The 15281-nt window shown below is 39.0% G+C and overlaps 1 protein-coding gene across 3 annotated transcripts in view; it reads right to left on the bottom strand.

Moving 5' to 3' along the window:
- COL6A5 (collagen type VI alpha 5 chain) overlaps positions 7874 to 15281 on the bottom strand; it is a 139175-nt gene continuing 131767 nt past the window's right edge. For all 3 annotated transcript variants that reach the window (NR_022012.3, NM_001278298.2, NM_153264.7), the window contains one exon: positions 7874 to 8685. Coding sequence is in view for 2 of the 3 variants with exons in the window: in NM_001278298.2 (NP_001265227.1) it covers positions 8660 to 8685 (26 nt within the window). In the remaining variant the exon portion in view is untranslated. The remainder of the gene's footprint in view (positions 8686 to 15281) is intronic.

The following is a 15281-nucleotide window of genomic DNA, read 5'->3' as shown; positions in this document are numbered from 1 at the left end:
GGCTGGTCTCGATCTCCTGACCTTGTGATCCACCTGCCTCGGCCTCCCAAAGTGCTCGGATTAGAGGCATGAGCCACTGCACCTGGCCGGGAACATGCATTTTAACAAGGCTGAGGAAATTCTGATGGAGGTGGTCCCTGAACCCCACTTTGAGAAACACTTGTCTAGAAAACAGCCACAACATTGTGGGGACATTAGCTTGAGCTGGTTTCTGGTAGAGGTCAAGCAAGTTGGAGTCTATGTTAGTTGTATCCATCCCCTACTGGTATTGGGGTAAAACAGTGTTGCATGCTAAAACCCTGCTTAATCAAAGGTTATTCTAACTTTAAGAGTGAGTGATGAAACAAGAAACCTAAATGCTGATGTCAGGACATGTTTTCAGGCAGCTGTTAAGTCTTCTGCCCAGGCAGGTTGCTAACATTGGCAGAAGCCATGGGGACAGTCACTCCAGTGTTCGTAGGGGGCTGAACCAGCCTGCTGCATTATAGAAGGCATATGCAAAAGGACTGCCATGGATCCTGCTCCACCATGCGATCAGCCCGTTGCTATGCAATTACTATGAGTTTGAAGGTGCCGGGAGTCAGATCCCAGTTGGTGTGGAGGAGAACCTTAGAAATGTTTCCAATAGGAATGCTGAAGTGAAAACTAGTGCTGAAATCTGCTACTTACACAGCAACAGAAGTGTCACTGTGACCGCAAGTCTACTGTAAAAGGTTTAAAACGCCATGATTAGCCCTCTCCAAAATTCTACACGACCCTGTTCCTTAGCCTACCCTGAAGGCTATTGCCAGCTTTCCAATGGAGTCATTAGGGATGGTTCCCAACTTCTGCCGAGGAGCTGCTGTGAGCCAGACACTATATAAAGCACCTTAATGTGCCAAATCGCACAAAACCAATTTCACAGATGAGAAAAATGGAGGTTCCAAAAAGTTAAACCACAAGTCCAGCATCACATAACCAGCATGTGGTAGAACAAGTTTTACTCTTTCCATAATTCCAAATTGCATCTTGGACACATCTTTAAGCCTACGGGACATCAGATAACAGATAATATCATTAGCCTCAGGCTGCAGAATGTGGTCCATTTATCACTGCAAATGTGTTCACGGAATGGAATTCCTGCTGACCTGGCATAAGGACGCCCACGCAGGCACTGCAGAGATTGCTGAACACAGCAACACTGCACAAGAGACGTGATGGAGCTCCTGCGAGAGTCACCAAAACACTGACATAGCTCTGTGGCAGCAATGGATGGCCAGGAAACAGCCACACAACCCAGGGGAGGGGATGAAGTGGTAAAATAGAGGGTTATAGGAAGAGGGGCTGATTTTAAACAAAGACCAGTTCTTAAGATTAAGTCACTAATTGAAGAGTATCAGAAAGTAGCTGTAGACACCAAAGAAAGTAGTAAATTCTTAATCACAGCATTCATAATATGAGGGAATTTTAAGGACGACTAGCCCAGTTCCCTCATTTTACTGAAAATGAGGATGAAGAGGAAGTAGATAATAAGAGTTAATGTTATTTAAGTACCTTCCATATGTCAGGTATTGTGCTAGGTATTATTTAATCCGATGAGGTTGGTAAAAATTGTATCCCCATTTTGATGATGAGGAAGTCAAGGCCCAGAGAAATGGAGATTCATTCAAAGTGGCACAGCTATTTAGGGGTAGAGGTAGGGTTGGGATTCAAGCACCTGATGCCTAATCCTGGCTATTTTTCTCTGTACTGCATAGCCAGTTTCTCTTCCAACGAGAATGCATGCAAATAGTCTTTGGAAGAACCAGGCAAATCCACACCTAAATCCCTCTTTACCTTGGATTGTATGACCATCTCTCTCTGAGTTCAGGATCCCTCATGAAAGGAATGGAGATAAGGATATCTTACTCTTGCTTTTGTTGTCAGCATTAGATGAGATAATGTACATAAAGTACTTACTATACTATCTGGCACATAGTAAGAACTCAGTAGATGTGTTTTTTTTCTTTCCCCCCTTCCTCTTGCCTTAGGTGTGGAAGTAGTATCTATTTTATCTTTTTAGTATTTGTCCTTTTAGATAGTAGTCATTATATGCTATATTGATCTTCCAGAGAGATTGACTGTATATTTACACACATATCAGGGCACACATAATGAGGTATTTGTAGGAATATGTAAAAATAATTTTAACAAATTTAATGCCAAAATGGCTCCTTTGCCTGTATTCCAAATATAATTAAGTTGTGCTTAGCACTGGAGTCACCGGGAGCTTTAAAAATGCTGTGTCCAGTCTGCATTCCACAGCACTTCTGTCAGGATCCCAGGGGTGAGATGCAGGCATTAGTAGTTTAAAAATCTCCTCAAGTGATTCTAGCAAATTACTAAATCAGAAACTCTGGGGTGAGGCCTAAAAATGTATATTTTAATAAGCCCTCCAGGGGATTCTGATACACACTCAAGTTTGAGAACCACTGGTCTAGACACCCAGTCTTCTCCTCTCCCTTATCTTCTGTCCAAACCCATCGATGATCATATGCTAATTTTATCTTTTAAGTATTTTCCTCATATGTCAACTAATTTCCATCCTGAGCACCACTATCCATTCTTGCCCAGATAACTGGTTACCCTGTGACTAGTTTTTCTTCCCTCCAGTTCCCTCTTCTTTCAGCAGCCAGTGTGAGCCACAATAAATGTCTAACCACGTCTCTTCTCTGTCCTCAGGGGCAGCCCAGTACCTCCAAAATAAAATCTAAACTCTTCAGCATGGTGCACAAGGCCCTCTGCGGCTGGCTTGGGCTAAGCTCTCTATCCTCCTCTCCTGTCACTCCTTGACTCCATTTCAGCAATATAGAATCGGTACAGTCACTCCCTCTTCCCCATGAACGCAACAGGGCTTATGGTTTAAACAAAAATCTACTTAGGAATGAAGAGCCAGGAGGCCAGGAGAGGCTCTTCCTTCATTCTGGGTTGCCTATCTTATTTTTTCCTGGATAAATTTTATCTAGTCATTTTCATTGAGATCAAAGGAACATCCTTGAAGAAACCCTCTCTGGGTTCCCAGTCTGGACTGAGTCTTTCTCTATATCCCCACGCCACTCTCTGTATATCTTCACCTTAGCACCACTACATGAAATTAAATGATCTCTTTCTGGGTCGGTCACTCCAGCTAGACCATGATTTCAAGGCACATGCCACCTTTTATTGAGCTTTCTATTCCCTGCCGCTGGCACAATGAATGTTATATGGTAGATACCCAATATACTATGCCATTCAGAACTAAAAATCTATAAAATACATCTACTCATTCACAGAGCTCCAAGCAAATGAATTCTAGGCCAGCACTTTGCAAACTTAGATGTGCATATGAATCACCTGGAGATCTTGCTGGAATGCAGATTCTGATCCAGTAGACTTGGAAAGGAGCCCAGAGACTCTGCATTTCTGACAATCTCTCAGGTCATGCTGGTGCTCCCAGTTCAAGGACCACTAGCTATAATATGATTAGCTAGCACTGTGGCCATCCAAAGCCATGAAACACAAGGTGCTTGTAGATCAATTTATGTCATACTAGAAAAACTTTTTGTATTGCAGAAATACCAGCCGCTGAGAGGAAAAAAGATAATTTGTGTTGTTTACTAGTCTATTCTTATGATATCCATCATTCTGGACTCTTATCTATTCTTTGAAAGAGATTACAAATAGTCCTCTTGTGAGCCAGTCCTCTGCACAGCTATTGTTCCCAACACAGGAGGTGAGAACTTCCTTATCATCAGCAGCCTTTGTGTGGAGGGCAACTCCTAGTTATTGCAGGATTTACAATCCAAATTCATCTTGGGAAGTAGAACCTGTGGAGAAGGAGAGAGGCCAACAGGATTTTACCCAGGCTCAGCAAGACAGGGCTTATTCATTCATCCCTTCCTCTATGAATAAAAATAGGTGTTGAACGTCTATTAAGTTCCTAGTGTTCCACAAAGTGAGAGAGTCTAGGGTTTTCAAGGTGGATAATGCACATCTAGAGAAGAAATTTGGTCAAAAGAAAATCCCAGGGTTCTGGGGCTGGATCTCTGGTAATCTTGCAGTGGGAGAGGTGTTCTGCAAGTACAGACAGGTTACTCTAGAAAGATGGAAAAGTGTTCCAATTTAGGGAGGCTTACTGGAGCTGCACAAACTTTCAACTGTGCCTATTCAAATTTTCACCCCCACTGCTTACACTCAGATAAGATTTAGAAATTAGGTTTGAAATGTCAACTGCAGTTTTCCAGAGATATCACAGGATTCTTAGTCATCTGTAATTCTGACCAGCTGTTCTACAGCATATTTTCTCATGTCACGTAAGGCTGCAGTGGGTTGGCCATGGGTCATTTCTGCACAGAACTCTGAAAAATGGGTGCTTAATGCATATACTATTGCTCCTTTTTGAGGGCATGCAGTTTTGCTTACAGATCATCCCATATTCAAATTGGATATTGTGGAATGGTTCAAGATTTTTTTTGTAATTTGCTATTTTTAAAGGCTTTTTTAAAAAGGCACTTCAGCCACTCACCACACTTGCTGTGGTCTCAAATTTCCAATCACACTGGCCTCCATACAAGCCAATTTCTCCACTTACCTTAGTGCACAGACACACAGCTCTTTCTAGCTTTTGTTTTCTCATCATTGCTCATGCCAGTTCCCCTCACTGCCTTCAAACCAAACCATATTTATCCTTCAAGGCGAGTTCGTTCACTCATTCATCAAATCCTTATTGCGTGCCTTTTAAGTGCCAGGCACCATCCTGGGTACTGGGAGCACAGCGATAAACAAGATGGAGAAGCTCACTTCAGTGCCTCTTGAGGATATTGACAAATGAATGGGCCATTATAACTCTCCCTAATGAGGGCCCAGAGGGAGAGATCCGGGTACTAGGAGAATATACAGTGTATATTCTAACTGTATATGGCAATCCCAGCCCCACTGTATGGAAGGTATTCCTAAGCAGGTGAGAGCCAGCATGGAAGAATAAATAGGAGGTAGAGAGCGGAAGAGGTTCCTTGCAGTGAGAACAGATTGGGCTGGAAAGGCGAGCAAAGGTCAGATTAGAAACTGACCTATAGAAACTCCTTCTAAGACATGAAAGGATTTCTCATTGTCATTATGAAGAAACTGGAAGGAAAGCATTGTGAGCCTTTAAGTGGGGACCTGGTGTGAATCCCATTTATTCTTTGAAGTCTTCTTCAATTATTTAAATCCCAGGTGATTTTTTTTCCTTCTTTGATTTCCAAAGCACTTACTGACTGTACTTAGCAGCCTGACTCTGAATTCATGCACTGTATTTTTATTAACCTTTGTTCATTCTCTGATGTTGGTTGTTGACATTTTGTGCCCACAGCGCACATTCAGGTGTTGTATTTTTTTCTTGAATGCCCAAAATTTATTTATTTATTTATGTATTTATTTTTTTGAGACGTAGTCTCGCTCTGTCACCCATGCTGGAGTGCAGTGGCACGATCTCGGCTCACTGCAAGCTCTGCTTCCCGGGTACACGCCATTCTCCTGCCTCAGCCTCCTGAGTACCTGGGACTACAGGTGTCCGCCACCACGCCTGGCTAATTTTTTGTATTTTTAGTAGAGATGGGGTTTCACCATGTTAGCCAGGATGGTCTCTATCTCCTGACCTTGTGATCCGCCCACCTCGGCCTCCCAAAGTGCTGGGATTACAGGCGTGAGCCACCGCGCCCGGCCCCAAAATTTATTTTAAAGCTCCCTGTATTTACAGTGTAATTGCTCCTCCAATGAAACAATGCCACTTAATATCACCCATCTTAGCTCTTATGTGCATCAAATTGTGCTGTACTCTGTGCAACCTCAAATGCCCAGACATAAAATTTTTACGCTGTTGGTGGGACTGTAAACTAGTTCAACCATTGTGGAAGTCAGTGTGGCAATTCCTCAGGGATCTAGAACTAGAAATACCATTTGACCCAGCCATCCCATTACTGGGTATATACCCAAAGGACTATAAAATATGCTGCTATAAAGACACATGCACACGTATGTTTATTACGGCACTATTCACAATAGCAAAGACTTGGAACCAACCCAAATGTCCCACAATGATAGACTGGATTAAGAAAATGTGGCACACATACACCATGGAATACTATGCAGCCATAAAAAAGGATGAGTTCTTGTCCTTTGTAGGGACATGGATGAAGCTGGAAACCATCATTCTCAGCAAACTATCGCAAGGACAAAAAACCAAACACCGCCATGTTCTCACTCATAGGTGGGAATTGAACAATGAGAACACTTGGACACAGGAAGGGGAACATCACACACTGGGGCCTGTTGTGGGATGGGGGGAAGGGGGAGGGATAGCACTAGGAGTTATACCTAATGTTAAATGACGAGTTAATGGGTGCAGCACACCAACATGGCACATGTATGCATACGTAATAAACCCGCACATTGTGCACATGTACCCTAAAACTTAAAGCATAATAAAAAAAGAAAAAAATTAATTTCATACATTGATCCAACATTATGTGGCATATCAGTGAAGGGGACAAGTTTCCCAGGTGCTCAATGTTCAAGAAGAACCATTATCTCAGAAGGTTACCTAACTCTAATGACCTTGACTTAGTGCAAACTCCTCAAGGTCAAGTAGAGTTATCTAATTTAAAAAAAAATCCCTCTCAATTCCTAACATAGTCCTGGATGTAGCACAAGGATTTACTTGAATTTTGCATTTTTATTACTTAATTTACTCTTTTAAATTATGAAATGTCAGGCACTGAAATATGTAGAGAATAATAGTAAGGAATGTACATCTTTTCCATCACCCAGCTTAAGAAATAAAACATTATGATGAAAATTGGACCCCCACTTTACCTCTTACCACTGAAAGATAACCGCTGTCTTGAATCTGGTGTTTGTCATCCCTACATATGCCTTTGTGTTTTCACTCCAGTTGTCAGTAGCCATAAACATTATGTGGTATTGCTTCTCAGGTTTTAAAATGTATAAGTGATGTCATAATGTATCCATCTGCAACTCTTTCTGGTTCAATATTATCTTTGAGATTTGTCTCTGTTTGTAGATACAGCTCCAGTTTATCAATTTAGCTGCTCTATCATATGCTATTGTATGAGTAGACCACATTAGGATGTTCATGTTGGCTTCAGCTCCTCTCTAAAACACACAGTGCTGCAGTGAACATGTTTGTATTTGGTTCCTGGCGTACATATGTGAGAGCTTCTCACACGTAGCTGTAGAGAGCTAGTAGTGGGATTGCTGGGTTTTAGGATACGTGTATCATCCATCTAACTAAATATTGCTACAGTGCTGTTTAAACAATTTACACCCCCATCAGCAGAGGATTAGTTCCTGTGGCTTCACATTCTTGATAATCATGTCATTTTCAGATTTAGGTATCTGATGTATTCTTCATGCATGTGTTTACACACACACACACACACACACACGCACACACACACCTACACTTATCAGGGTTCTTAGGGGAAAACAAAACTTTACTAAACGAGTAGAGTTGAATATGGAACTTCCCAAAGAGCAATAAATGGTTACTATAAAAATCTCAGCAACTTAGAATTAATTGGATTATTTTTAAATTATGCAAATAACAACAGTAAGGTCAAGAAAAATTACATGGGAAAAGTACAAAATAGCCTATGGTATTATCCCATTAACACAGTAATTTCATTTTTTAATATAATAGATGCTCATTGACTTGGTAATTACCTGTTGCCTTAGCCAAACTGAATGATTTTTAAAACTAATTCACTGTTGGCTAATTTTACATTTTATGTAAATGTTCCAAATATATTTAGTCCTCTACTGGTGCTCTATTAGGGTTGCGTTAGACTGTAGTTAAATAATAATGAACAGAACAAACTTCCAAGTCAGACTTGTTTTTATTTTAGAAATTATCTCTTGCTACATTGTAATTCCCAAGAACATCTCTGGTCATATAGAGTATCTGTGCTTTTCCGTAATTCTTTTGCTGCAAAAATTCAGTATACACAAAGCAAAGCTGCTAAAATTTAAACAAAAGATTACAGCAAAAAATATGGTTCATAAAATTAGCCTCTTATCACTTTTTTCTTTTTCACCAATTCCATTCTTTTGTCAATGTCCTGGTGAAGAGAAAGCATTAACTATGGGTCATAGCAGCCTGACAGGTGGGTTTTAGAAGACAATCACTGCTAGATGAAATGTTAGGGTCACCCCAGAACCGATGACATGGGCATGGCTTTCCAGTTTTAAGAATTAGTAGAAGATATTCCTAGGAAATTCCAATTCCAAATGCTTTTAGAGGAGTCCAATCTGAGATACAGATGTGTTGAAAATAATGACAATCTTTTACAGGCAGATACATCATCAAAATTGATGCCTGAACTGTGCAGAGCTTTCAAAGAAAAGTTAACTCTTATAGGTCGGTTTCCCCAGTTCTCAGGAGAAATGAAATCATTCCTGGTTTGTCAGGTCTTCTTACTGATGTCTTCACTCCGAAAATTCTTCTCCTCAAGATTTGAGATGGAGAACAAATTTAGCATGCTATTAGCCAATTGTTTTTGTGAAAAGTCCCTGTCATTTACCACAGTACCTCTAACAGATGATTATACATTCTGGTTAGAACCACATGGGATTATACATGTCAGTGGAGCTATCTTCTTTTCTCCTATGATGACCTTGTATCTTCACCATCTGCAAAATATAACAATATTCACTGCTTTTAATGTCATTGTATTTGTTCAAAATGTTCCTCCAGGGCCTACTCCTTTATATGCCACATATAAAACAAACACAATATTTTTGTCATTTTCAATGGTCAAAATAGAAGTCCAGCTCAGGGTGATGTGATAATAGATATAAATGAGCAATGTATAAGGAGAATCATAGACATAATTCTTCCTGGAAGAATGTTGGTACATTAATGATTTGACATTCCATGTTTAGCAAATTTAGTGGCTGGTATTATTAAACAGGTGCTTGAAGGGGTGTGCAATAGACAATATCAAGGTTTTGCCCAGAATCCCCCTAATCTTTCTTTTTTAACATTAATTTCTAGGACAATATTCTTTCGTTTTCTGTCTTCCCCTTCTGGGCCTCCCTCCCCAACCATTGCCATGTGAGCTTTTGCTCCCAACATCAGCACCTATTATTCTTTGAGGACTGCTGTTAGCTACTTGACCTGCTTTAACTACATGCACTATGAGCACCTGGAGTTTACATTCTCTCCACAGCAGCTCTTGACCAATCAATAACCTAGGAGGAAGTAAGAAAGCCCAACTTTCTCTTTATCCAATTTCCCAGTCTGTGTCTTTTAATTGGGGCATTTAGCCTGTTTACATTTAAGGTTAATATTGTTGTGTGCGAATTTGATCCTGTCATTATGATGCTAGCTGGTTATTTTGCCCATTAGTTGACACAGCTTCTTCATAGTGTCGATGGTCTTTACAATTTGTTGTTTTTTGCAGCGGCTGGTACTGGTTTTTTCTTTCCACATTTAGTGCTTCCTTCAGGAGCTCTTGTAAGGCAGGCCTGGTGGTGACAAAATCTCTCAGCATTTTCTTGTCTGTTAAGGATTTTATTTCTCCTTCGCTTATAAAGCTTAGTTTGGCTAGATATGAAATTCAGGGTTGAAAATTCTTTTCTTTAACAATGTTGAATATTGGCCCCCACTCTCTTCTGGCTTGTAGGGTTTCTGCAGAGAGATCTGCTGTTAGTCTGATGGGCTTCCCTTTGTGGGTAACCCAACTTTTCTCTCTGGCTGCCCTTAACATATTTTCCTTCATTTCAACCTTGGTGAACTGATAAGCAACTTCAGCAAAGTCTCAGGATACAAAATCAATGTGCAAAAATCACAAGCATTTCTTTACACCAACAATAGGCAAGCAGAGAGCCAAATCATGAGTGAACTCACATTCACGATTGCTACAAAGAGAAAAAGATACCTAAGAATACAACTTACAAGGGATGTGAAGGACGTCTTCAAGGAGAACTACAAACCACTGCTCAAGGAAATAAGAGAGAAGACAAATAAATGGAAAAACATTGCATGCTCAGGGATAGGAAGAATCAATATCGTGAAAATGGCCATACTGACCAAAGTAATTTATAGATTCAATGCTATCCCCATCAAGCTACCATTGACTTTCTTCACAGAATTAGAAAAAAACTACTTTAAATTTCATATGAAACAAAAAAGAGCCCAAATAGCCAAGACAACCCTAAGCAAAAAGAACAAAGCTGGAGGCATCATGCTGCCTGACTTCAAACTATACTACAAGGCTACAGTAACCAAAACAGCATGGTATTGGTATCAACACAGATATATAGACCAATGGAACAGAACAGAGGCCTCAGAAATAATGCCATGCATCTACAACCATCTGATCTTTGACAAACCTGACAAAAACAAGAAATGGGGAAAGGATCTCCTATTCGTTAAATGGTGTTGGAAAACTGGCTAGCCATATGCAGAAAACTGAAACTGGACCCTTTCCTTATACTTTATACAAAAATTAACTCAAGATGGATTGAAGATTTAAATGTAAGACCTAAAACCAGAAAAACCCTAGAAGAAAACCTAGGCAATACCATTCAGGACATAGGTATGGGCAAAGACTTCATGACTAAAACACCAAAAGCAATTGCAACAAAAGCCAAAATTGACAAATGGAATCTAATTAAACTAAACAGCATCTGCACAGCAAAAGAAACTATCATCAGAGTGAACAGGCAACCTACAGAATGGGAGAAAATTTTTGCAATCTATCCATCTGACAAAGGGCTAATACCTAGAATCTATGAGGAACTTAAACAAATTTACAATTTAAAAAAACAACCCCATTAAAAAGTAGGCAAAGGATATGAGCAGACACTTCTCAAAAGAAGACATTTATGCAGCCAACAAACAAATGAAAAAAAGGCTCATCATCACTGATCATTAGAGAAATGCAAATCAAAACCACAATGAGATACTATCTCACGCCAGTTAGATTGGTGATCATTAAAAAGTTAGGAAACAACAGATGCTGGTGAGGATGTGGAGAAATAGGGACGCTTTTACACTGTTGGTGGGAGTGTAAATTAGTTGAACCATTGTGGAAGACAGTGCGGCGATTCCTCAAGGATCTAGAACCAGAAATACCATTTGACCCAGCCATCCCATTACTGAGTATATTCCCAGAGGATTATAAATCATTCTACTATAAAGACACATGCACACGTATATTTACTGCAGCACTATTCACAATAGCAAAGACTTGGAAGCAACCCAAATGCCCATCAGTGATAGATTGGATAAAGAAAATGTGGCACATATACACCATGGAATACTATGCAGCCATAAAAAAGAATGAGTTCATGTCTTTGCAGGGACATGGATGAAGCTGGAAACCATCATTCTCAGCAAACTAACACAGGAACAGAAAACCAAACACCACATGTTCCCACTCATAAGTTGGAGCTGAACAATGAGAATACATGGACACAGGGAGGGGAACATCACACACTGGGGCTTGTCGGGGGGTGGGGGGCAAAGGGAGTGATAGCATTAGGAGAAATACCTAATGTAGATGACGGGTTGATGGGTGTGGCAAACCACCATGGCACGTGTATACCTATGTAACAAACCTGCACATTTTATACATGTATCCCAGAACTTAAAGGATTAAAAAAAAAAGAAAGAAAGAAAAAGAAAGCCTAACCCTCTTGCCTCAGCTCAGGAAATCTCTGCAGCCTAATTTAGGCGCCTGCGTTTCCTTGAAGGATCAGGCTTAAGCTGCCCTCTATGGGACTTCGCCTGAGATGACACCCTTATTTGCCTTCCACTCCTTCCTTGTCTTGCTTCCTTCCTTACTGGTTCTCCTGTGAGCACTCCCTCAGTAACTCACATGCACAGAAATTCTCAACTCTGTGTTGGATTCAGGGGAAGCTGGTCTAAAACAGAATCTTAGAGAGGTTCCAGCCTAGTTGTCTTTAAAAATTTTTGCTTACAGCCACACCTCAAAGGAAAACAAAACATCTACTTCTTGCCTTGGACATTTTAAATATCTATTTTTTTCGTTATGAGTTTAAGTGGTTGAAAAAGATGTAAGTTGTGACATATTATAAAAACTGACATTTAAAAATAAAACCTTAACATTTCTCTCTTAACTTATCCAACAGAGTCCACCATTATTTACTAAAAATATATGCAAACATGCTTATGTTTAAATGTCAGATAGTTTATAGTGTTCATTTCTCTCCTTAAATTTGTATTTCCCTTCCACTTTCCCCATAGAATTTCATTCTAACTCTAATAAGTTTATATGCTTTAAAATATTTCATTTGCCTAATCATAATTCTCTGCAAAAATATATATATTTAAGTGTATGTTCTTATTTTCTATGACGATAAGCTTCTATACATTAACACTTTTTAAAGATGAATTATCATTAGAATTTATCAAAACAACATATATATTTAAATTTTGGTAATTCTATTAAGACAAAAAGTAAACATTTTTGTTCAAAATACATTTATTAATAAAATGGATAGTTTTTCCCTGTTATTTTTACATATTACTGTTTTTGCTAGAGTAAGGCAAGATTTAATATCAGAATTGATAGAATTATTAATATCTATTGTTATATATTTAAGCACTGATAAATATTATTTACATCGATGGATCTTGAAGGAGTTTTATCAGAGCAATGTCAAACAATTATTTGACTTTTTTCTGAATCATATCCCGAAAATCACCCAGTAATCTTTCAAAAAGTTTTACAAAAGAATCAGTTATCCAGTCATTTAGACAACATTTTCTAATTTCTGGGAAATATTGTTTAAAAAGTGCTTTATCAAATTTATCAAATGGCTATTAATTATACCTGTTACTCTTTTACTGAGAGGCACTGTATTTATCTCAAAAAACTAAAATGTTTGGAAAAGTTTAATATTGCTAAATTAAGCACACTTGATACTTACATTATTAGTATATTTTTTGATAAAATATTTTAATCATCTTTTCTATATGTTTTTACTTCAGAATTTTGAAGCTTCAATTTAGTTCATTCACTTTATGGGAAATGTTCCCCATGTAGCCTAATTGGAAGAACTGGTCTTTATTGTAAAAGCCAATCCACACATGCTCTGCCTTTGAAAGAGTCTAATCTCATCTCTCAGTTGAAATAATTATGGTATTGGGGGTTCCTGTGATGATATCTTACTATGATTCTATTCCAAGATACAGCTCTTTCCATAGTGGGTTTTTGTTTGTTTTCTGTTTTGTGGTTTTTGTTTGTTTGTTGTTGTTTGTTTTTGTTTTTGTTTTGCCTGATAAAAGAATGCTTGCTCTCTGTTTTAGTCCATTTAGGCTGCTATAACAAACTACCATAAACTGGGTGGCTTATAAACAACAGCAATCTATTTCTCTCAGTTCTGGAGGCTGGGAAGCTTATGATCAATGCACTGGCCCATTCGGCATCTAGTGAGGGACCTGCTTTCTGGTTCAAACGTGGTGCCTTTTCACTAAATTCTCACATGGTGGAAGGGAAGAGGAGTCCCCTTGTGTCCTTTATTATAAGGACACTGATCCCATTCATAAGGGATCCACCCCCACGACTTAATCACAAATATCCTACCTCCTAATACCATGATCTTGGGGGTTAGGACATCAACATACTAACTTTGGGGGAACACAAACATTCAGGCCATAGCATTATTCATCAATATATCTCCAATATACATTCTGTTTGTTCTCATGGAAATCCCAGTCAGGAGATATACACCCTTTCACAATAGTTGGGAAATGGGAGGGGCCAGATTACAAAATGAAATTTATCATCATTGCTATCACCCTCACTCCATGATGCACCTGAATTCAAAACATTCTAACATGAGTTCAAATACCCCATTTCTAGCAACACCCTTCTTCCTTAACAGAAGTATGTACAGGATCGAAAAGATTTGAAGCCTTACTTGGGTTTATGGTGCTTTGATTAAAGAAGGACTACAGATAGAATATTTTTAAATGACTCCTGGTTTGACAATCCCCACTGCACCCCACCCCACATACCTCCCTACAGGGGTTTTACATCTGGGGCAAAGCACCGCAGTTAGATTCAGAATGGCTGAGAGATGTGCCATTTTGTGTGTGTGAACTGGGGGATGTTTTTAAAAGGGGATGCAGAAAAGGATGCCCTTCTGTGATTCCTTAGACACAAATACATTCTCAGGTAGATGGAGCCTTTTAAGACTAGCTTTTGAAATCCATGCATTGGAAAATCTTTGTGTGTCACCCAGTATGTATACCCCAGTATAAAAAACACTGGCCTCATCCAAGCTTTTCATTACACTGAGAAGAAAGTTTAGGACCAGAGCAATCAGGTGACTTCTCAAGATCATAAAGCCAGTTAGCCACAGAACTAAAACTGGCACTGGGGTGTTCTTTTCACCGTAACCACTAGCTCTGATATCATTTGTTATCATCACTGTCATCATCAACATGATCACGATTTTAAATAGCAGCTAACATTTATGAAGCTTTTACTCTATGCTAAGAGCTGTTTGAAGCACTTCATACTCATTTACTGCTTACATTAGCCAATGTCATAGGTTATATTATTATCCCCATTTTGCAGATGAGGAAATGGAAGCTCAGAGAGGCAATGTGACATGCCCAAGATCACATGACCAGTAATTGCAGAAATAGGATTCAAATTTACAGCTGGCTCCAGGATTAACTCTTTCAACTCCTGTTTCCTGAAGTGTTTTCTACAAAATACTAGCCCTATAAAATGCTGTTAAAAGATTCTGTGGCCAAATTGGTTTGATTATAGCTGTTTTCTCAGAATATTAATAGAATTTAATATTCCATTAAAGACAATAAAAAGTCCTGCAGAAAAACCCATATCTACTTATCAGTGATTTCTAGAGAAATGATTTTTTCCCAAATACTTATTAATATCCAATGAAAGGACCCCTATTAAAGAAGTCTGATTTAGACTTGATATTTATAATACTATGTCAGTGGTTCTCAACCTCTGGAGGCTCCACCTCCAGAATTTCGGATTCGGTAGGTCTGGGGTACAATCCAAGAATCTGCATTTCTAGTGAGTTCCCAGACGATGCTGATGTGGCTGGTCCAGGGATCATACTTTGAGAAACACTACAGTTGATATTGGAAAAATAAATAAGAAACAAGCCTTGGGTTTGACATAAAGAAAAAAGATACAGTTCCACTTAAAAATATCTACATTAAATTCTTGAAAATGTACTTTATAATAAGCAAACAGAAAATCTGTCCTTTTAGT

This window comes from Homo sapiens, chromosome 3 (genome assembly GCF_000001405.40).
Source record: "Homo sapiens chromosome 3, GRCh38.p14 Primary Assembly".
NCBI lineage: Eukaryota > Metazoa > Chordata > Mammalia > Primates > Hominidae > Homo > Homo sapiens.
The sequence above is the reverse complement of the archived record's forward strand: the minus strand, read 5'-3'. Positions and strand labels throughout refer to the sequence as shown.